Source organism: Homo sapiens, chromosome 17 (assembly GCF_000001405.40).
Source record: "Homo sapiens chromosome 17, GRCh38.p14 Primary Assembly".
In the NCBI taxonomy this organism is placed as follows: Eukaryota; Metazoa; Chordata; class Mammalia; order Primates; family Hominidae; genus Homo; species Homo sapiens.
Genome location: NC_000017.11, coordinates 77,887,242 through 77,908,107, shown reverse-complemented (window position 1 = coordinate 77,908,107; position 20,866 = coordinate 77,887,242). Strand labels below are relative to the sequence as shown.

General features: G+C 51.7%; 1 long non-coding RNA gene across 1 annotated transcript, besides 3 other annotated features; it reads left to right on the top strand.

Annotated features, from left to right (window-relative positions):
• Positions 293 to 834: an enhancer, noted in NCBI's record as "H3K4me1 hESC enhancer chr17:75903356-75903897 (GRCh37/hg19 assembly coordinates)". NCBI's record gives its function as "activates a minimal SCP1, AML or CMV promoter by ChIP-STARR-seq in naive H9 embryonic stem cells {active_cell/tissue: H9 hESC(naive)}" and the evidence as "EXISTENCE:reporter gene assay evidence [ECO:0000049][PMID:30033119]".
• Positions 14,265 to 19,558, top strand: LOC107985087 (uncharacterized). The gene is made up of 4 exons (XR_001753033.2): positions 14,265 to 14,428; positions 17,884 to 18,023; positions 18,502 to 18,717; positions 19,447 to 19,558. It is a non-coding gene; the product is annotated as an uncharacterized LOC107985087 (long non-coding RNA).
• Positions 16,292 to 16,840: an enhancer, noted in NCBI's record as "H3K4me1 hESC enhancer chr17:75887350-75887898 (GRCh37/hg19 assembly coordinates)". NCBI's record gives its function as "activates a minimal SCP1, AML or CMV promoter by ChIP-STARR-seq in primed H9 embryonic stem cells {active_cell/tissue: H9 hESC(primed)}" and the evidence as "EXISTENCE:reporter gene assay evidence [ECO:0000049][PMID:30033119]".
• Positions 17,281 to 17,781: an enhancer, noted in NCBI's record as "H3K4me1 hESC enhancer chr17:75886409-75886909 (GRCh37/hg19 assembly coordinates)". NCBI's record gives its function as "activates a minimal SCP1, AML or CMV promoter by ChIP-STARR-seq in naive H9 embryonic stem cells {active_cell/tissue: H9 hESC(naive)}" and the evidence as "EXISTENCE:reporter gene assay evidence [ECO:0000049][PMID:30033119]".
• Positions 19,559 to 20,866: the final 1,308 nt, after the last annotated feature.

Below are 20,866 nucleotides of genomic sequence, written 5' to 3'. Positions count from 1 at the left end.
GATTTAGTGCCCGGGTCCTAGGGTGGGATGGGATCTGAGTACATTTGTGGGTTCTCTGCGCCCGGCCATTCCTGGGCTCCATATGTAGATTTGTCAGTGGAAAGCTTCCTCGGGGCAGGAGACGAAGCTCTCTTGGGAAGCCCTCCTGATGGGAAGGGGCGTGGTCATGGGCAGGTACCCTTGCTGCAGGGCCTGCCACCCCACAGTGATGGAGCACGAGCCCTGTGCCTGCGTGGCTCACCCTGCTCACCACTGTCCGAGCCCACTGACCACTTTCAGTTCTTTCAACACACCGAGCCCTTCCCCACTCAGGGCCGACACACCCCCTTCTGCCTGGGTCTCCCATCCTCAGCTGGCTGGCTCCTCTCATCCCTTAGCCCTTGGCCCAAGCACCAGGCCTGCACTGACCCCCGGCCGGTCCCTGCTGTTTTCATGATGGCACCTCCTCCTTCTCCTCCGCAGCACTCCCTGCCATCGATCCTGTCGTGCTTGTTGTCTTCCCGGTGTATTATCTGTCTCCTCAGCTAGCTCATGTGCCGTGTGGGGCCAGGGACTTGTATTCCCAGTGTAGCTGCTCAAGAAATACTTGTGGAATGAGGCTGGGCGCAGTGGCTCACACCTGTAATCCCAGCACTTTGGGAGGCCGAGGTGGGTGGATCACGAGGTCAGGAGATTGAGACCATCCTGACTAACACAATGAAACCCCGTCTCTACTAAAAATACAAAAAATCAGCCGGGCGTGGTGGCGGGAGCCTGTAGTCCCAGCTACTCGGGAGGCTGAGGCAGGAGAATGGTGTGAACCCGGGAGGCGGAGCTTGCAGTGAGTCGAGATCTCGCTACTGCACTCCAGCCTGGGTGACAGAGCGAGACTCCATCTCAAAAAAAAAAAAAAAAAAAAAAAAGAAATACTTCTGGAATGACTGGCCCTATTTGATCTTTATTTAAGTGTCATTTAATCTCATTTAATCCTGTAGCAATCCTAGAAGTAGTGACAATCTTAGCTGCATTTTGCAAGGGAAGAAACAGGTTTCTGGAGGGTGTGTCACTTGCTCAAGGCCACCCATGTAGAATGTGGCAGAGCCAACACTTGGACCCGTGTCTACCTGAGTGCAAAACCCAAGCTGCAAATGATACTCCTGTCTGTCTCTCAGGTTCCTATGCCAGCAACTTCCCGACCCCATTTGCTGCCATCCTCCCTCTGTAAGACATGGGGACACAGACAGTTCCTACAGAACAAACCGGAAGCCCGTCTGCTTATCCCCCAATCTTGCCAATGCAGCAGAGAAGCCAGAGATTCCCAGGCATCAGACCCACTGTAGCCAACACCCCCCACCCAATCCCCCGCATGGCTGGTGGAAGGGCAGCGTCCAGCTTGCTGGGCATGGTGCACACGGTTTGGGCTTCCTGGGGAGCAGGCCACAGGCAGGAGGGAACCAGCTGGGTCTTGCCCTGGAGACTCTTGTGGCCACCTGCTGTCCCCTTCCTCCTTGGGCAGACCAGGTGACCCTTGCCTGGTAGCCTGGGGTGGAGGGATCTCCTTATTTTGTGATTAATAAAGACTCAGATGGTCCTTGGGCAGTGCTGGCCCAGAGACCCTGTGTTCCCAGCTCGGGGGGCCTGCACATTTCCGGAGGCTGTCATTGTGTGAACACAGAGCCTCTTCGCCAATCGCTGAGCCCTTCCTGGGCCCTGTCAGTGCCTAAAACCCTCCCCAGTTGCAGCCGGCATGCCCCAGGTGGCAATCTCAGGGACCAGAGGCCACAGTCGGAGGGGGTCTCTCAGTCATCTCTTTCTGCTGCCCCGAAGCCCAGCTCCGTCATTCCTGTGCTTGCATGGAGCATCAGAGATGGAGAGTGAGTAGGTGGGGAGGGGGTAGGAGGGAAGGCATGTCGGGGAGCTCTGCTTGAAAAGTGGCTGCTGGGTCCCAGACACTTGTGTTAGAAGAAAAAAGACTCTGGAGACCAGAAATGGAGCAGGAGGGGTAAAAGTGTCAATGCCCAGCCGGGAACCCGACCCAACACAGTGTCTATTTAGACTCCAGGGGTGAGGTTCGGGAGAGGAGAAACCGGGTAAGTCTTTTCAAGCCAGAAGATGGGACTGTCCCCATCCCGTCTCTGAGTGGTGCCGGCTGGCAGGACCCAGATTTGTGTGTTGGCCGGGGTCTCCTGAGGATGTGGGGTGCCTGCCCTGGTTTTATGGGGTTCAGCTGTCTTGCGATGCCTCCAGTCAGGGCTGCAGGGCTGCACCTGTGTGAGCAGCTAGTGGACGGACCAGGGTTTATTGCTTTACACATTTTATCTCATTTCATCTTCTTTTTTTTTTTTTTTTTTTTTTGAGATGGAGTCCCGCCCTGTCGCCAGGCTGGAGTGCAGTGGCACAATCCCGGCTCACTGCAACCTCTGCCTCCCGGGTTCAAGCGATTCTCCTGCCTCAGCCTCCCGAGTAGCTGAGATTACAGGCATGCGCCACTACGCCCAGCTAATTTTTGTACTTTTAATAGAGACGGGGTTTCATCATGTTGGCCAGGATGGTCTTGATCTCTTGACCTTGTGATCCGCCCGCCTCGGCTCATTTCATCTTCTTATCTCCAAAGGGTGGACATCATCACTTCATCGACGGGAGACTCAGCGGGGCCAAGATGCTTGTGTGGAGGCACGGAGCTGGCTTGGACCCAGGTCCGTCACCTCCTAGACTCCTGACTCCCAGGCAGAATATTACCAACCAAACACGGATGCTGGCGACCCCCTTGGCCTTGCTTCAAGTTTCGACTCTAACACTTGTGGGTTCTGTGACTTATGAACTCTGAGAATCCATTTCCCTCTTTGCAAAATGACAGAAATAGTAGTTAACTCTTCACAAGGTTGTAGAGAGGATTAAATGAGATAATGTCTGTGAGGCTTCTGGAAGGGTGTTCAGCTGCTTAGGTTTGGAAATTAGTTTTCCATTGAAATTTTCTTTAAAGAGAGGGGAGAATCCAGATAAAATATAAGCATCATCACTTACTACATATGTGACACACATATGTAGTCATTATCTACATATATACATCTATGCATATATTCAGATATACACACACATCATCTATACACATACACACATCTATTCATATCTATTTATATATTCATATGTGCATATTCATATCCATCTCCACATATATACATATATTCATATCTAGGTATATATATACATATATTCATATCTATCTACAGATAAATACATATACTCATATATTCATATTTGTCTACACACATATACATATATTTATATCAGTTTACACACATATACATATATTCATATCTACACACACATATACAGATATTCATTTCTATGCATATACATTATATTTATATATCTCTAAACACACATTTGTACATCTATATTCATGTCTATCTATCTATACACAAACACGCACATGCACACACACAGTCCTTTTGTGTTTCTTTTCTTGGCTGGAAAGCTGGAGGTTTATTTTTTCTCCCTAGGAGTGGTGACACCACAATGACTTTTGAAGCTAAATTTTCCTTGAGAAAGCAACACGCTGGTGTGAACGGTGGCCTCTCTCCTCAACGGTTGGATCTCTGACATGTCAAACCTGCAGATTCGTGGGAGAATTGGGAGAACGATGAATCTGACCCGAACCCGTGAGGCTTAAAAATATGGTAATGCAATTAGCAGCTTTCGGCAGCCTAATGAAGCTTCTCTAAAATGCTGATAAAATACCACTAAAGGAAAATGCTGAAGAGCCTCTTCAAACTTCCCAAAATGTGAAGTGCGTCCTTACGGAGAAAATGGCAATCTAGTCGCCTTTCTCCGAGGTTCAAGATTAATTAGGGGCTTATTTAGTGCATGAATGAGGAAACAAATGAACTCTTGGATGGCAAAGCATTGAAACCAATTTTTTAATCTTTTTTTTTTTTTTTTTTTTTTTTTTTACAATTACATCCCTATCATAAAAGTCTTCATTAGACGTTGTCACCAGCACGCATTGTGTTAGGGAAGTGTTACCACTGGGCTTTTGACGAGACTGCATTTCTTTCCTTTTAAAGAGGACTCTCATCAAAAAGCCTTTTCTTTCCTCCTAAAGGTGAAGGGCTGTGGCTTGGAAGGGTAGTCCCGGCTCTAGGGGGAAAATCATCTCCCTACTTGCCCTATGCAACCCGAGGTTACCTGTGTTTTCTGTAGATACATGATCCCCTTTGAAACTAGCACAGGCCGACCAGGTGGTTGGAAGATTTCTCTGGCTCCTTGGATAGGTTATTTCTTTATTCACCATTTTTGTTTGTTTGTTTGTTTTTGTTTTTTTGAGACAGTGTCTCGTTCTGTTGCCCAGGCTGGAGTGTAGTGGCGCGATCTTGGCTCACTGCAACTTCTGCCTCCTGGGTTCAAGTGATTCTTGTGCCTCAACCTCCTGAGTAGCTGTGATTACAGGCGTGTGCCAGGACACCTGGCTAATTTTTGTATTTTTAGCAGAGACGGGGTTTCACCTTGTTGGCCAGGCTGGCCTCGAACTCCTGACCTCAGGTGATCCACCTGCTTCGGCCTCCCAAAGTGCTGGGATTACAGGCGTGAGGCACTGTGTTTATTCACCATTTATGATGAGAAGACAGGCATGGAGGAGGAGTAAGTGCTGCGTGCTCCCCGTCCCATGCCTGGCTATCTACCCCACACCTCCTCTCCTGCTTTCTCCCCCTCTTCACAAATGATCCTCTGGGTGGAAGCCAGTCCTGATTGCTGCCATCAACGGAACCATTCATTTCACCCAGCAGCTATTGGCTGGGCAGGAAGTAGTCCTATGCACTCCTAGGTGCTGGGATGCAGCAGTGAGTAAAATGTATATTCTCCTGGCTCGTGGGGCTCACAGTCTAGGGTTGATTGCCTTGATATTTGCAAATTACCTTGATCATTTCTGGCCCTGGTCTACCTATGCCAGGACTCCATAGCAACATCATCTTTATCTATTTGATGTGTCTATGTGGCTGGGCAACATCACAGAAGTTGGTGGGAATCTGAAATGTGAACACCGACGCTAAGCTGGCCTCGGGCAAGTCCTTCACTTGCCCTTGCCTCTCCGCCTGCATTCTGTGAATCCGGGACATGATCCTTCCCCAGGCAGGCTTCAGATGATGTTGCAGCCCCAACCTCGATGGCAGTTTTGTGAGAGCCTGAGCTGGGGAAGCCAGCCAAGTTGTGCTCAGAACCCTGAGCCATGAAACTGTGCAATAATAAATGTGTGTTGTCTTAAGCCACTACGTTTTGGCATAATTTGTTATGCAGCCCTAACTAATAAGCTAATTAACAAAACCATGCAGAGACCTATGTGGGAGCTTAGGTTGGTTGACTTACACAAGAGGCCATGCTACAATAGTAACGACAGGGTGAGAGGGTAGCCACCATTTACTGACAGCCTTCCATGCACTGGCTGTTGTTCCAGGTGTTGTCACAGCAAGGATGGCCTCAGCAGACAGTGATGAAGATGCAGGGTCTGGAGTCAGAACATCTGGGTGTGAATCCAGCTTGACTGCTTCTTAGTTGCATGGTGCTGGATGTGTTATCTCACCTCCATGAGCCTGAGTTTTCTCATATATAAAATGGAGGTAGAGATAGTGTATTCGTTCATTTTCACACTGCTAGAAAGAAATACTCAAGACTGGGTAATTTATAAAGGAAAGAGGTTTAATGGACTCACAGTTCCACACGGTTTGGGAGGCCTCAGGAAACTTACAGTCATGGCGGAAGGTGAAAGGGAAGCAAGCACCTTCATCACATGGTGGCAGGAGTGACAAGAACAAAGGAAGAACTTCTAAACACTTACAAAGCCATCAGATCTCATGAGAACTCACTTATTATCATAAGAACAGCATGGGGGAAACTGCCCCCATGATCCAATCACCTCCCTCCCTCCATATGGGGGATTACAGGTCCCTCCCTGGACATGTGGGGATTACAATTCGAGATGAGATTTGGGTGGGTACACAGAGCCAAACCATATCAGATAGTATCTCCCCTTTCCTCACAGAATAAATAAATGAAATATTGTATGTGAGTATTTAACCAAATGCTTGTTCTGTAGAAATTTCTCAATAAAGCACAATATTAGTTAGATAACTAGGAGTGTTACCTACATAATAAAGCTGTAAGGGATGATTTTAATCAGAGGACCAGCTGGATAAAACCCCACTTCTCCATCACTAACAGGTATGTGCCCCCCAGCCCACTCCTGCACCCAGGATGTTTATAATGGCAGCAATTGTGGTGTTCCCTCAACCAACATGTAGAGTTGGTGTGATTTCCAAGAGCTGCCCAGGTGGAGTGTGCACTTGGGACATGGTGACTGTAGCTCAAACTTCCTCTGTTGGTTCTTCATCCCACTCATACAGCTCAGAGCTGGCCAGGGCTGGAAAGCCCCACAAGGCAGGCCAAGGACATGCGTCTGGGGTTGTGCACCCAGCGGGCTGGCTGGCAGCTGCTGGTCCAGTAGATCACAGCAAAGCCAGCTGTGGACACACAGGAGGGTGGCAGGGAAAGTGTGTAATCCAGGCAGCATCCAGATGGCTCCCATCCTGGCATCTGGGGCAGAGAAGACTCTTGTTTCCATGTTTTGTTTCTAGAGAGTTATTTGTGGTCTCTAAAGCAAACCTTATTGCATGCCTGTTAATCAGCTCTAAAAAGTACACTTAGGAATGCAATACCATAAACTTGGGGGCTTAAATAACAGAAATTTATTTTCTTGCAGTTCTGGAGGGTGGAAGGCCGAGATCAGTGAGCAGCATGGTTGATTCTGATGAGGGCTCTCTTCCTGGCTTGCAGACGGCCGCCTTCTTGCTGTGTGCTCACATGGCAGAGAGGGAATGATCCTTCTGGTATCTCCTCATTAAGGCACTAATCCCATCAGGGGGTCCCACCCTCATTACCTCATCTAATGTTAATCACGTCCCCAAAAGCCCCATCTCCAAATACCACCACGTTGTTAGGTTTGGGGGTTAGGGCTTTAACATATGAATTTGGAGGGGACACAATTCAGTCTATAGCACTCTGCTGCCACCAACATTACCCAGAGGGCCTGCCTAATGATCAGGGGAGATGCCAGCACCCTCTCAGTATGGGGGAGTACCTTCAGTGTCAGGATTTGGCTTTCCATTTAGTTTGGTGAATTATCTTGTTCTTTCTCAGGGCTTTGTTGTACCCTGGGTCATGTTCACCATGGAGGAGCAATGGGGAGCCTCAGTTTTGAAATTAATTGCAGAAGGCACAGAGCCAGTGTGGGCATGGATGGGAAGGGAAAAGGGGATGTGCCAGAGAGAATTTCCCCTGCCAGCTATCCCTGAACCCTGGGGCCAGCACAGAGCCTAGCGTGCAGCTGAAGCTCAGCACGTGCCCATGGTCCGAAGAAGCACATCATATTCTCGTATACAGCTCTGTGGGCATAAAGAGTGTTCATATCCACGACCGGAGGATGATTTATGAAACAGCTCACTCTGCCAGGCGTGGTGGCTCACGCCTGTAATCCCAGCACTTTGGGAGGCTGAGGCGGGCAGATCATGAGGTCAGGAGATTGAGAGCATCCTGGCTAACATGGTGAAACCCCGTCTCTAATAAAAATACAAAAAAATTAGCCAGGCGTGACGGCGTGTGCCTGTAGTCCCAGCTGCTGGGGAGACTGAGGCAGGAGAATGGCGTGAACGTGGGAGGTGGAGCTTGCAGTGAGCCGAGATTGCACCACTGCACTCCAGCCTGGGTGACAGAGCAAGACTCCATCTCAAAAAAAAAAAAAAAAAAAAGAAATAGCTCACTCTTCCTCTGGAGAGTGGGGCAGAGGACAGGACCAACAGGGCTTCGTTCAGGCTGCACAGGGCAAGAAGGTGCCTGCCTTTGATGGCACCTCCCACCCCAGGCACTAGCCCAGTAGCATAGGGTTCAGAAGGCCATGCCCTGACTGAGATATAAAGGGGGACGCCACCTGTGCTTCCACCTTTTCACCTCCACCCCGAATGTTCTTCTCATCTCAGATGCGGAGGTATTGGAGGGGCAAGGGAGAGTAGAGAAAAGCCAGAGGCCTTGACCAGGTATCTGGGCCTGCTGAGGGCCGCAGCCCTGCAGAGAAATCTTGGGCCCTCATGAGGTCCGTGGGCATGGCGGCTAGACCTCAGGCAGGGCTGGAGGGTGGGGCTGGGGGGTGTTTGTCTTTGGGCCCCACCCTTACTCCTTCGACCCTTTTTGAAGTTTTCTTGCACTGTCTGCTTTTCCTTTGCCTCCAGAGCCCCTTCCCTTCTCAGCTCTCACCTTCCTAGTCCTCTAATTGGCTGCTCCAAGGCCAGCCCCTCTGCTGTTGGCCTCTTTGTCACCATGGTTATGAATTTTGGCTCCTTCTCTAGTTCAGAGCCCTGCAGCTCTTACACGCCGCAGGGAGCACTTTCTAAGAAGGTTCTAAGTGCTCCCAGCCTGGGAACAGGTGCCAGATGGGGGCTGAGAGGGAGCCCTGAGCTCTTGAACTCCTGGGCACACTGAAGTGTGTTTTCGGAGGCACGATCCTGGCTGAGCAGGCAGGGCGCACTCCCCCGCTCGGCTTTCTTCCTTCATCTGGAAAGCAGCCCAAGATGGCTCTAAGCTTGAAAATCCTGGTGGAGAATCCCACTCTCAGTGGTTCCAAAGTTTAACAACTACCTCTTGCAGCCCAATAGGTGAGGGATGTGTGTGGCATCTGCATTCCCGAAGTCGCTGAGCATTCAACCTGGAGGTGCCCTGGGTTGGGGCATTCCCTTGGGGCTTTGAGGTGCATGTCTTGGGGCACCTCTCTGGAGCCAAAAAGGAAGGCTGCAAAGAAGGAAGTGGCAACCACTGAGCCCCAGGAAACTCGGCACTGGGTCGGGTATGCCGAGGGATTGTCAGGTCTGCAGGGGGGTCGGCAACCATCCTGCCCCTGCCATCTACAAAACTCTGCTTGCCTTCCCCAATCGCCCCATCACCCCATCGTCAGAGCTCCCTGTCCTTGATATGCACGAGGCTGGAAGGAGACAGCGGCCTTCAGAGCACTAGGAGGGCTCAGCCACCAGATGACAACTTGAGATTCAGAAAGGGAAGCTTGGATTTGCATATCACTTTGCATCTCATTTGCATGGACTCACAGCCTGGCAGAACCTGCATCTCTCTCTAGCATCCCCTAGGCGCCTGGGGCTCCTGGTGCTTTCTTGGTTGCAGAAGCTTGGCTCTGTGCTGGGCGAGGAGGGAGACAGGACTCATGCCCGGGGCTGGGGTGGCACACTGGCTTCTCTGGAAGCGTGGGATCTCCAGAGGTCCAACTTTCCCTGGAAAACCCATCAGTGGGCAGGGAGAGTCTTCCTTGGGAGTAATTTTCTCTGTTATGCCAAGAGCTCACTGTGATTTCAAAGTGCCCGTGTGGCTTCATTTGGGTCACTTGGTTCTCTGTGGCTGCCAGTAGCACAGTGATCCCTGAGTGCGGTCCGGGGGCTCTAGAAGGGGGAGAATGCATCATTGTGTGTTTGAATGAACCACAAAACTTCTTTCATCAAGCTCACTTCAAGTGACCAGAGGCTTGGCTGGCCCCTTCCTGTCCTGAACTGGCCGGCTGCAGAGTCCCCTTCCCTATGGCAGGCCAGGTCAATCTCAGGTGCTAGGGCTTCCAGTGAGCCCCCGAAGGACCTACCCTGGCCCTTCTGATGAAGGTAATTCATCTCTTTACCAAGGAGGGGTTGGGGTGTAACTGAGAGAGGATTTGGGGTGTGCAGGATTGCAGGTGTGGCTTGACTCTGCCACTCCTGGGGCTCTCCTTCAGAAAGCAGACAATGACCATGGAGGTAATAGCCACAAGCTTTCCTCTCCTCTTTCCTCCTTTGAAAATGGGCAATAATTGGCCAGGCTCACTGGCTTTTACATCCAGCACACAGGAATCCAGACTTGGGAGCTTCTTGGAGGCAGCCGGGCCTGTGTCAGGTGCCTGAGATCCAATTCCAGCTCTGACACTTATAGCTGTGTGACCCTGGGCAAGTTCCAAACCTCTCTGAGCCTTAGCTTCCTGCTGCGTCTTAACCACAATGCTGTCTTGGAATTGGCGATCATTGGCAAATCTGAGGTGCAGGGCTCAGCGGCATCTGTCCTTTGTGAAGGGGATTCTTAGTGCAGACATCTCCCTACTCCCCTGCATCACCCTCTGCCCAGTTTTGGCGGCTTTGCTTTTAGGGCAAGAATCAAGCCTCACTCCCCAGGATCTAGCAGAGGTGGGTCCTGGATCAGTCAGTAGCAGCATCATTCTGCCCCTGCTCTGACAAAGGGAGGCCAGCCTGGGGCCTCAGGGATGCCAGGCATAGGATCCTCTCCTGGAAAGAGCAGGAAGCTGTGTTTGCCACCGAGGTACTGACAATTTCAGAGAAACCCGTGACACCCAGCCTCCTCCTCAGGCTCAGAAAAAGGGAAGGGGGGTGGTGGGGGGAGGGGAGCGGAGGCGAAAGAGAGACTGGGATCTGAGAAATACTAAGCAATAAAGGGCTTTAAAATAGATTTACTTTAATTATATACTTCGGTAACTTGCTGTAGTTTCCCATCCCATTATTAAATTACAACAGTAACTCATCTAATGGATTTTCGCGGAGAAAACATTCATTTTATTTTATTGTGTTTTTGTGCTATAGTCTATAATGAAGGCAACCAAGTCGCCCTTGTACCCGGAATGGGCCAGGGTGTGGGGAGGGGTCTGAGGAGCAAGGCGGGAGTCAGGATGCCGCCCGATAATTCCCGGAGCTGCCAGGGGCTCTCAGCCGTGAGGACCTGAAGGTGGAGGACCAGGGAGGGAGGAGATGTCTCAGCGAGAAGGAGAGGCCGAGGTAGGGTCTCATGGGGTGAGAGGGGTACAGACAGGGTCTACTGGGGACAGATAAGCCGCCCTCTACCTGTAGACAAGACAGACAGATCCGGGCCATGACATCCCCCCGGGTCTGAGCAGGTCCTGGGAGCAGGGGGGAGCTGGAGCGGTTCTTTTGAGCTTCTGCTTGGCTGCTCTTCGGAGATGAGATGGGAAACATTAGAGGTGAAGAGGCAGCAGGAGTTGTCTGGGCACGCGGTGGCTCACGCCTGTAATCCCAGCACTTTGGGAGGCCGAGACGGGTGGATCACATGAGGTCAGGAGTTCCAGACCAGCCTGGTCAACATGGCGAAACGCTGGCTGTACTGAAAATAGAAAAAATTAGCCAGGTGTGGTGGCAGGCACCTGTAATCCCGGCTACTAGGGAGGCTGAGGCAGGAGAATCACTTGAACCCAGGAGGTGGAGGCTGCAGTGAGTTGAGATTGTGCCATTGCACTCCAGCCTGGGCAACAAGAGCGAAACTCCATCTCAAAAAAAAAAAAAAAAAAAGAGGCAGCGAGAGCATCAGAAGATGGCCCTGAACAGTTTTCATTTTCTTTTTTCTTTTTTTTTTTTTTGAGACAGGGTCTCACTCCATCGCCCAGGCTGGAGTGCAGTGGTGCAATCTTGGCTCACTGCAATCTCCACCTCCCAGGTTCAAGCAATTCTCCTGCCTCAGTTTCCTGAGTAGCTGGGATCACAGGTGCGTGCCACCACGCCCAGCTTATTTTTAGGTTGTGGGCTTGGTGGAATGATTCCTGTTTCTTCATCTATTTTTTTCCACAGCTCTTTTAAGCTGGAGTCATCGGCCACCTCTAAACCTCCAAATGTCACTTTGCCAGAGGATCAGACAAATATATAGAGAAAAAGAATGTACTGGGGTAGTCCCTACAGCCCTCTGTGGCGGGGACTGAAGTTGTCACTGGTAATAATAATAATAATAATAATAATAATAATAATAATAATAATAAGTTTTAAAAAGTGTGTTTTGAGCATTTAGGGTTTGCTTGGCCTTGTGCTAAGCATCTTTTAAGTATATTGTTTAAAAAGTTATCATAGGACCGGGCGCACAGGCTCAGGCCTGTATTCCCAGCACTTTGGGAGGCCGAGGTGGGCGGATCACTTGAGGCAAGGAGTTCAAGACCAGCCTGGCCAACACGGCAAAACCCAATCTCTATTAAAAATACAAAAATTAGCCAGGTGTGGTGGTGCGTGCCTGTAATGCCAGATACTCAGTACGCTGAGGCAGGAGGATCGCTTGAACCTGGGAGGCGGAGGTTGCAGTGAGCCGAGATGGCGACACTGCACTCCAGCCTGGGTGACAGAGCAAGACTCCATCTCAAAAAAAAAAAAAAAAGTTATCACACCAAAGATCAAAACAATTGAACTCATGGACCTAGAGAGTGAAAGGATGGTTACCAGAGACTAGGAAGGGTAGTTGGAAGCTGGAGGGGCGGTGGGGATGGTTAAAGGGTACAAAACATAGTTAAAAAAAGAATAAGATCTACTATTTGATAGCACAATATGGTGACTATAGTCAATAATAACTTAATTGTACATTTTAAAATAACTTAAAGAGTGTCATTGGATTGTTTGTAACTCAAAGGATAAATGCTTGAGGGGATGGATACCCCACTCTCCATGATGAGCTTATTTCACATTGCATGCCTGTATCAAACATCTCATGTACCCCAGAAATAAATATATATATATATATATATATATATATATATATTTGTACACCTACCGTGTACCCACAGAAATTTTAAAAATTTAAAAACAGTACAAAAAATAAAATTATCACATCAATCTTATGAGGTAGCTATTAATAATTGTTATTTGTCATTTACATACGAGGAAACTGAGGCTCAGGTTCGCTTATAAGATGGACCCCTACTAAGTGCCTGATGGAGATCTTGAACCCAGACAACACGACCTGAAGCTCACGCCAGTCCCCATGGGTTCTCTCTTTTTGTTTTTTGAGACAGTGTCTCACTCTGTCGCCCAGGCTGGAGTGCAGTGGCATAATCATGGCTCACTGTAGCCTTGACTTCCCGGGCTCAGGTGATCCTCCCACCTCAGCGTCCCCAGCTAATTTTTGTATTTTTAGTAGAGACAGACTTTTGCCTTGTTGCCCAGGCTGGTTTCAAATTCCTGGGCTCAAGCGATCCTCCTGCCTCAGCCTCCCAAAGTGCTGGGATTACAGGCGTGAGCTACCATGCCCAGTCCGCATGGGTTCTCAGAGGTTAGTGGGCAGGCCCACCTGGGCAGACCCCATTCCCGGAGTTTAGGGGGGACAGGGGCAGGGGTGCCCGGGAAGGGCCCTTTATGAAGCATCTCAGATAAGAAGCTGTGCTGAGCTGCAGGCCTCAGAGACCTGAGCTGCAGTGGAGGTAGCTGAGCTCCAGGGTTGCTCCCCAGAGAGGCTTGCGGAGGCCCCGTCCTGCTCTTCCTCCCTCCTGCTCCTGGCGCAGCGCTGCTCCCTGGAATGGAAGTCACCTGGCTCCTGCTCTCCCTGTCTGGCCTTCTGTTGGCCCTGCCTGACCCTGAGTCCTCAGGGATGGAGCCTGGCCCGTTGGGGCTGATGGGTGGGCCTGGAAGCTCAGTGCCTGGCTGAGGCCCCATTGCCAGGGCCCTGCCCTGGTTCTGCTTGTTGTTCTATTGCTCTTGCCTGCCCACTCCTGCGTGTGTCCTTTCTGGCCCTGCCCACACCTGCAGCTCACACGAAGGGCCTCAGGGGCTGCTATCCCTGTCCTATCCCACACTGTGCTTCCTTGCAACCCCAGGCCCAGCCCTTTTGCCTTGTCCCCAGCAACTCCTCAGGCTTCTACCTGGCGTTGCTCTCGGGATTCAAGGTGACCAGCTTGCTACTTGAGGCCACGTATGGTAAGACCCCTTCAGCACCCTCTGGCTCAGGGCTGTCCCCGGAGGGGCTCACACCTGCCTCACCCCAGCCACAAGGGCCACTGTGTACTGCATACTCCAAGCCCACTCTGTGCCCAGGTCACTTCCTCCATCTCACCTGTGGGGCGAGTCTCCACCTGGTCCTAGTTCAGGCCTCCTCCATCCTCCACCCTGAGACTCCTCATGCTCCCAGCCTTTAACCCCCTGAGGCCTGACGAGGAGGAGGAGAGAGGGGAAAATGCCTGCTCACCTGCACATTGTCACGGGAACAAACCATCCCCACAGGGACTGGCATTTGTAAGCCATTGTCATACATGCTTGGCACGTTAGAAATCCAGAGGGCAGAATGCCTCCCTCTCTCCACTACAAATAAAGGTAGCCAGGCAGGTCAGAGTTAATGAACAACATACCATGATGTCTTCTTTAACAAATCCCTGGCAACTAAGCTTCCTCACCACAAACAAATGAACAAGTGCCATTCAGCAGCCACTCCAAGCTGGTGTTAGGTCAGTGCCCGGCCAGAGGTTCACGATATCTATGGAAAGCAGGTTGCAATGGCTCGGGCGGGAGAGTGTAATTGATGGACAAACTCAAGCACTCAAAGGCCACCCATTTGCTTCCCACCTCAAACCTCTTAGCCAGTGATACAGAGAGAAGAAGAGGAGGAAGAGGTGAGTTCTGTCTGTTACCTCTGATTTCCCTCTCTGAGAGCCGAGGTTTCTTCATCTGCTGCCCCGGAAACTCAGCCGGCCCCTTTTGCTGGGGCAGGCCATGCACGGTGGGTAAGAAAGCCATCTGTGTGCACTCTGTGGCTTCCAGCGTCTCTGGGGTGATGCAGGTGTGTCTCTGAGATATTCTGAGCATCGGTGTCTGGGTGCCCTTACTCCGCATCCTGGGACACTGGCTTTTGCATCTTCGGTGTCACTTAAGCTGTGGTGCATTCTTTTGCGCCAGGCCATCCCATGTCTGACGTGACAGTGTTTCTTTAGGACAAACCCCCTCTATCCTACGGTGGCGTCCCGGGTGTGCGGTGTCCTGGTTTAGGGGTTTAGGAACCTCAAGAACATGGGAGACAGAATCTCGAACGGCTCCCCGGGAAGCCTCGATCTCTGTGGTCCTCCATAGTGGGCATTTGGAGGGAGTGAGCCTTGGTTGTGAGATTGGAATGAGTTTGGGTTTCCAGCTGATGGGGAGCTTTTATTTCTGATCTGGTTTACTGCCCATTGGTTTCTAAATTACAGCTTTACCGTCACCCTCTGTGTGTTGCGGGTTTGGTTTCCCAGGCAGCAGGCTGAGTCTGCAGGATGGTTATTGAGGAACAATGGAGGCGGACGCTGGAGCGGCTGCGGGAGAGCCTGGCCAGGGCAGCCCTCAGAGCTGTCCTGAGTGGGCTGAGGCAGCCAGCCCTGCTCTCCAGCACAGGCCTTTGGCTGTGGCCCCTCAGGGGAGGGCGTCGCCGTGGGCAGGTCTCTGTAGCTGAGGGGTCCTGGGGCGAGCTGCCAGCAGCAGGTAACGCATCCACCATGAGAGCCCTGCGTCCACTGCGTGGTCTTGGTGCTCGGGGCTGGCCTCACTGACGCTCCAGGGTGGCTGAGACCTGAGCCTTGGCCTCCACGTCCTCACCGCCCAGGTCCTAGCCAGTACATTCAAGTTCCCTCTGTCTGTTCAGAGAACTCTTACTCATACTGTAAGACCGAGGTCAAATGTCACCTTTGCTGAGCTGCCCGTCTCTGACAGCCACCTCTCCAGCACTGGAGCTCCGTTCCCCTCTCAGGGCTCCACAGCGCCTCCTTCCTACCCATCCTGGAATTTACATTCATCCTATGGAAATAGTGTCTCGCAAGCCTGCTCCCCACCCTGCACCCACCAGGAGTCCCCTGGGGTCAGACACTGTCTTTTCTTTCTCCTTTCATCGTTGGTTCCCAGGTTCCATGCCTGGAACCTGGAAGCGGCTCCTGATTTTGCTGAATGAATGTGGGAGGGAGAAAAAGGGAAGGGGTGGCGGAGGCCCCCCTCCAGCCAAGCAGACCCCCAGGTGTCAGGCCCCAGGCAGAGCCCCTTCCCCCAGCCTGGGACCCTCACTGCTTCTTGCTCCTGTGGACAGGAAAGGCCCCATCCTCAGGGGCCACAGTGGCAGAGGCCCCTGGGGAAGCGATGACAGACAGGCGCAGCCACTCCTGCTGACATCTCTCCTAGACCCTCGTCCTCCTTGGAGAACCTCCCCTGGATTCTCAGTAGCCGGAGCTCTGTCAGCTTGACGGGTGGAGTGAGGGTCACCAAGAGCCCTTCCTTCTTGTTTTAAACTCCCTCCTCTTCCTTGACCAGGAGAGTCTGAGAGCAGAGGAGGGAGGGGGGCTTACCCCAGGGGTGAGGATGTTGAGCTTTCCCTCCCTGGGGCTGCCACCCGACCCTTTAAAGGTTAAATGTGTTTATGCAGCATCTTCAGGAGGCTGCTGGGTCTGACAAAACGGAGAGAAGAGTGATTAATGGCTGGTGTCCTTGCTGCCGCCACCACAGGGAAGGAGGCTTCCATGGCTGCCCAGGAGCCACTCCTGTGACTCCAGGCTTCAGCCTTTCAGCAGGCTTCGGGACGAGTACTTCTGGACCAAGAGGAGGCTGCGATTCTGGAATGGGGCCTGGAGGGAGGCTGGGGCGCTGCTCTCTTGGGAAAATGAGAGTTTGCTCCAGGCCAGAGCGGATCCTGTGGGATTGCAGGCAGAAGGGAACAGAAGTTTCTGAACCACTGAGGCTTGTTGTAGAAATTCATGACTTTTACATTGTGCCCTGTAATATGGTCCTATGTGTCTTAGTAGAACAATTATGCTTTAGGTTGTGCAACAATCAAATTACTTAAGTTAACACCGGCCAGGCGCAGTGGCTCATCTCTAAAATCCCAGCATTTTGGGAGGCCAGGCCAGGAGGAACACTTGAGCCCAGGAGTTGGAGACCAGCCTGAGCAACATAAGGAGACTCCATCTCTACAAAATATTTTAAAGTTATCTGAGTGTGGTGGCACCCAAGACTTGGGAGGCTGAGGTGGGAGGATCGCTTGAGCCCAGGGTTTAGAGGCTATAGTGCATCATTGCACTGCAGCCCCGGGAGACAGAGCAAGACCCTGTCTCAAAACAACAATGACAACAACAACATTTACTCCTCCCATCCCAATCTACTTAAGTAAAATGATTACTCCAGCAAGCTGTGCTGATGAGTGTGTCCTGAGCCCCTCACCCAGAGCTCCTGAGGACCCCAGTTGGAGAAACCTGGGCTTACAGGCATCCCTGGGAGGTGGCAGGGGAGGAGGTGGGGATGGGGAGCTGGGGGGAAGCCAGCATGGCCTCAGGTTTCTGCCACTGCCCCAAGGCCTGGACCTCTGTTGGAGGTGTGCTGGGCTTGCATCTTCAAGTAAGGGCTCCGTTTTGCAGCATGGCATCGGGCACAGCCTGGGTGCTCAGAGTGGGCTTTTTGAGTGAATGACGAATGCATGAAAGGTGACTCTCAGAGCAGAGTTCAGAGGAAGCCAGGTGTCAGGGGGATGACCAGACCCTTGCCCAGGAGGGAGGAGTCTCAACTGTGGGGGGTGGGTGGGGGAGAGTGGATGGGAGGGTGGGGGGCACGCAGCCCTGACACCTGGCACTCCAGCCAGCCTTGGGCCTCTGCTGCCCTGTTTGGGGTCTTTGATACAAGCATTCCTGCAAGAGCTCCTTGCACGCCGACACCTTCCCATCGGGAGAGGCTGGAAGCATGGTGGTTGCCTGCCGTGTCCCAGCTGTTGTGGGTGCTTCTTCACGGCCAGTTCCTCTGACCTGGAATGGCCAGACTCGTCTTGAAGGGTGAGAAGTCATATCTCCGAATGCCCAGCAGGGTGCCTGGCAAGGGCTGCTGCTCTCTTATTATTATCATTAACGTTGGGAGATCGGCATTGAACTCACCTCTTGAGAGTTGAGGAGCCCCTGGTGGGGGACACTAAGCACCTGCCCCCACCGAGGGGACAAGCTGGGGTTGGCACAGAGCTCTCTCCCGCTCCAAGTCCTGCCTTCCCCGCCGGGCCACAGCTGCTCCAATCACGATGCTTCCCAAAGGACTTTCTGCAAGTGACCCTGGCCTCATCTCTTTCTGAGGACTGTAGACACCTCAGGGAGAGGGACACTGTGTCGGTTTCCTGTGGCTGCTGTAACAAATTCGCACAGACTGAGAGCCTTCGAACAGCAGGCATGGATCCTCTCACGGCTCTGGAGGCCAGAAGCCCAGGATCAAGGTGTCAGCGAGGTGGGTTCCTTCTGACGGCTCCAGGGAAGAAGCCACCCTGTGCCTCTCTTCTTGCTTCCGGCGCTTGCCTGCAGGCCTCAGCGTTCCTTGGCTTGTAGACTCCAGTCTCTGCCTTGGTGGTCTCATGCGTGTGTCTCTGTGTCCAAATTTCCCTTTCTGGCCAGACGTGGCGACTCACTCCTGTAATCCCAGCACTTTGGGAGGCTGAGGAGGGCGGATCACCTGAGGTCAGGAGTTGGAGACCAGCCTGGCCAACATGGTGAAACCCCATCTCTACTAAAAATACAAAAATTAGCTGGGCGTGGTGGCAGGTGCCTGTAATCCCAGCTACTCGGGAGGCTGAGGCATGAGAATCACTTGAACCGGAAAGATGGAGATTTCAGTGAGCTGAGATTGAGTCACTGCACTCCAGCCTGGGCAACAGAGCGAGACACTGTCTCAAAAATAAAAAATAAAAAAAAATTCTCTTTATTTTAAGGATGCCAGCCTTTGGACTGAAGTCCCACCCTATGACCTCGCCTTAATTTGATTACGTCTGCAAAGATGCTATTCCAGAATAAGGTCACATTTACAGTTGCTGGGGGTATGATCGCTTGGAGAACACAGTTCAAACCCCTGCAGACACAAATTCATGCCTGCCCACCAGCTCGAGCCCCAGACACTGCTTTCAGGGGAGCCCATGCCAAGGCAGCAGGTGGGTGTCTGTCTGTCTGGAGGATCTGTGGGGAGAGTAGGTTACTTTGGGGTTTGTATAGGGAGGCAGGACGGTGGCTGTGCAGAGGGAGAGAAGGGAGATGCAAAAAGACCCCAGGGAAATGAGGAACAAATGGGGACGGGACACAGGCCTCTGGAGGGAGGTGGGATCCTTAAGTCTCAGGGGTTGGGGAAAGAAAGCTGAAGGCATTTTGAGGGAAGCAGTGCATAGCCCAGTGATCTGGCAGTGGTGAGGGTTCTAGGGGGAAGAAGAGCAGGCTGTGGGGTCTGATTCCTCCATGCGCTATCCCCCAGTAGGCGAGTGGCCTGATCCTTTTTGACCTCTGCTTTCCCTTCCCTTCCCCTTTCTTCCCTTCCTCTTCACTTTCCCCTTCCTCTTCCCTTTCTTTCTTTCTTTCTTCTTTTTCTTTTTTTTTCTTTCTTTCTCTCTCTCTCTCTTTCTTCTCTCTCTCTCTCTTTCTTGCTTCTTTCTTTCTCTCAGAGTCTTGCTCTGTCACCCAGGCTGGAGTGCAGTGGTGCCATCTCGGCTCACTGCAACCTCCCCCTCTCGGGTTCAAGCAATTCTCCTGCCTCAGCCTCCTGAGTAGCTGGGATTACAGGTGCATGCCACCATACCCAACCTTTTTTTTTTTTTTTTTTTTTTTTTTTTTTTTAGTAGATATGGGGTTTCATCATGTTGACCAGGCTGGTCTCAAATTCCTGATTTCAGGTGATCCTCCTGCCCCGGCCCCCCAAAGTGTTGGGATTACAGGCATGAGCCGTCGTGCCTGGCCTTGATCCCTGTTTTCTGATTGCCCTAATTGGGAGAATAACTCCTCCCCTATGAGACAACAGATGAGAAAGTGCTTGGAAAGTAAAAGCAATGTTCACCATTAAAGATTGTAACATGTGGAGTGCTGCATGACTGAATTGTCAAACATGAATAACTCAGCTCTTTTCAGATTCACAATCATGATCAATGCCTCCGGGACTATGAAAACGCCATCATGAATGTTTACATTATTCTCTTGGGTGAGCGGAGCTTTGGAAAGGAAAAAAAGGAAAGTCTAAACTGACAAACTTCTGAAAACACTCGGGTCTGGCAGGAGTTCTCTTCTCTCCCCGAGAGCAGAATTGGGGTTGAGCGGCACTTGGTAGGCGTGGAGCGCGCTTCAGTCTCGGGCCACTACCCCAGGCGTTTTCTCATCTGACACTCACAGCAGCCCTCGGGTAGGCAGACACGGTGTATTTACGCCTTTCATTCGAGTCCCTTTGGGGGAGCAGGAGGGAGGGAGGGTGTGAGTGTGTGCGCGCACCCGTGCATGGGGGAGGCGGGGCCTTTCGATTCCGATGCCAGTTACGCAGACACCCTCACATCCTCGGATATACCGCCACCGAGCCTGAAGTGCTGACAATATCCCCATTTTTCTCTGTCCTGACAGCTTTTGAGATGCCAGGCCAGCCTCCCTTCCTAATCGGTCATTTTCTGAGGAGGGGCAGCTCGGGCGGTTGTTAGAGCAGAACGCACGGCTTCAATCCCTCTGTGTGGTGGACCTTGTTGCGCAAGGGTCCCTGTGTCCGGCACGTCATCGCCCTCTGTGAGAATGAGCTCTCCTTCCGGTCACTGCGCGGTGATCGCAGCAGAGGGGACGTGGCATTAACAGCACGCGGTTGCTCCACTCACCCCTGGCTTTGTAGCCTACAGCAGCTTGAAACACATGACGCTGTAACAACCTCTACCACGCCACGGAGGCATTCTTTTTTATTGTTTCCATTTTCTAGTTTGTGGCAGATTGGATTCCTGTTTCTAATTCTTCCCTCCCTCCCTGGTGTAGAATTTCACATTTGCCTCTTTCGCCAGGTGGCTTTGCAGTGCGTTCCCGCCCTCCCCCGCCAAGAGTGGGTGCAGAATTTTTCCCTGCTCCGCGTCAATGCTGGGTGTGGCCATGAGCCCTGAAATTACACATGGAGCCCAGCCTCTGCTGATCTGTACCCATTAAGAAGAAAAAATGTTGATCTTTGTTGCTGTAGGTCATTGAGATTTCTGGGGTTGTCTGTTATGTAGCATTATTCTAGCGACTAGTTCCCAGGTCATTCATTCACTCAACAAACACTGTGTGGCTGCCTTGGGTTAGGAATGCTGCTAGGAG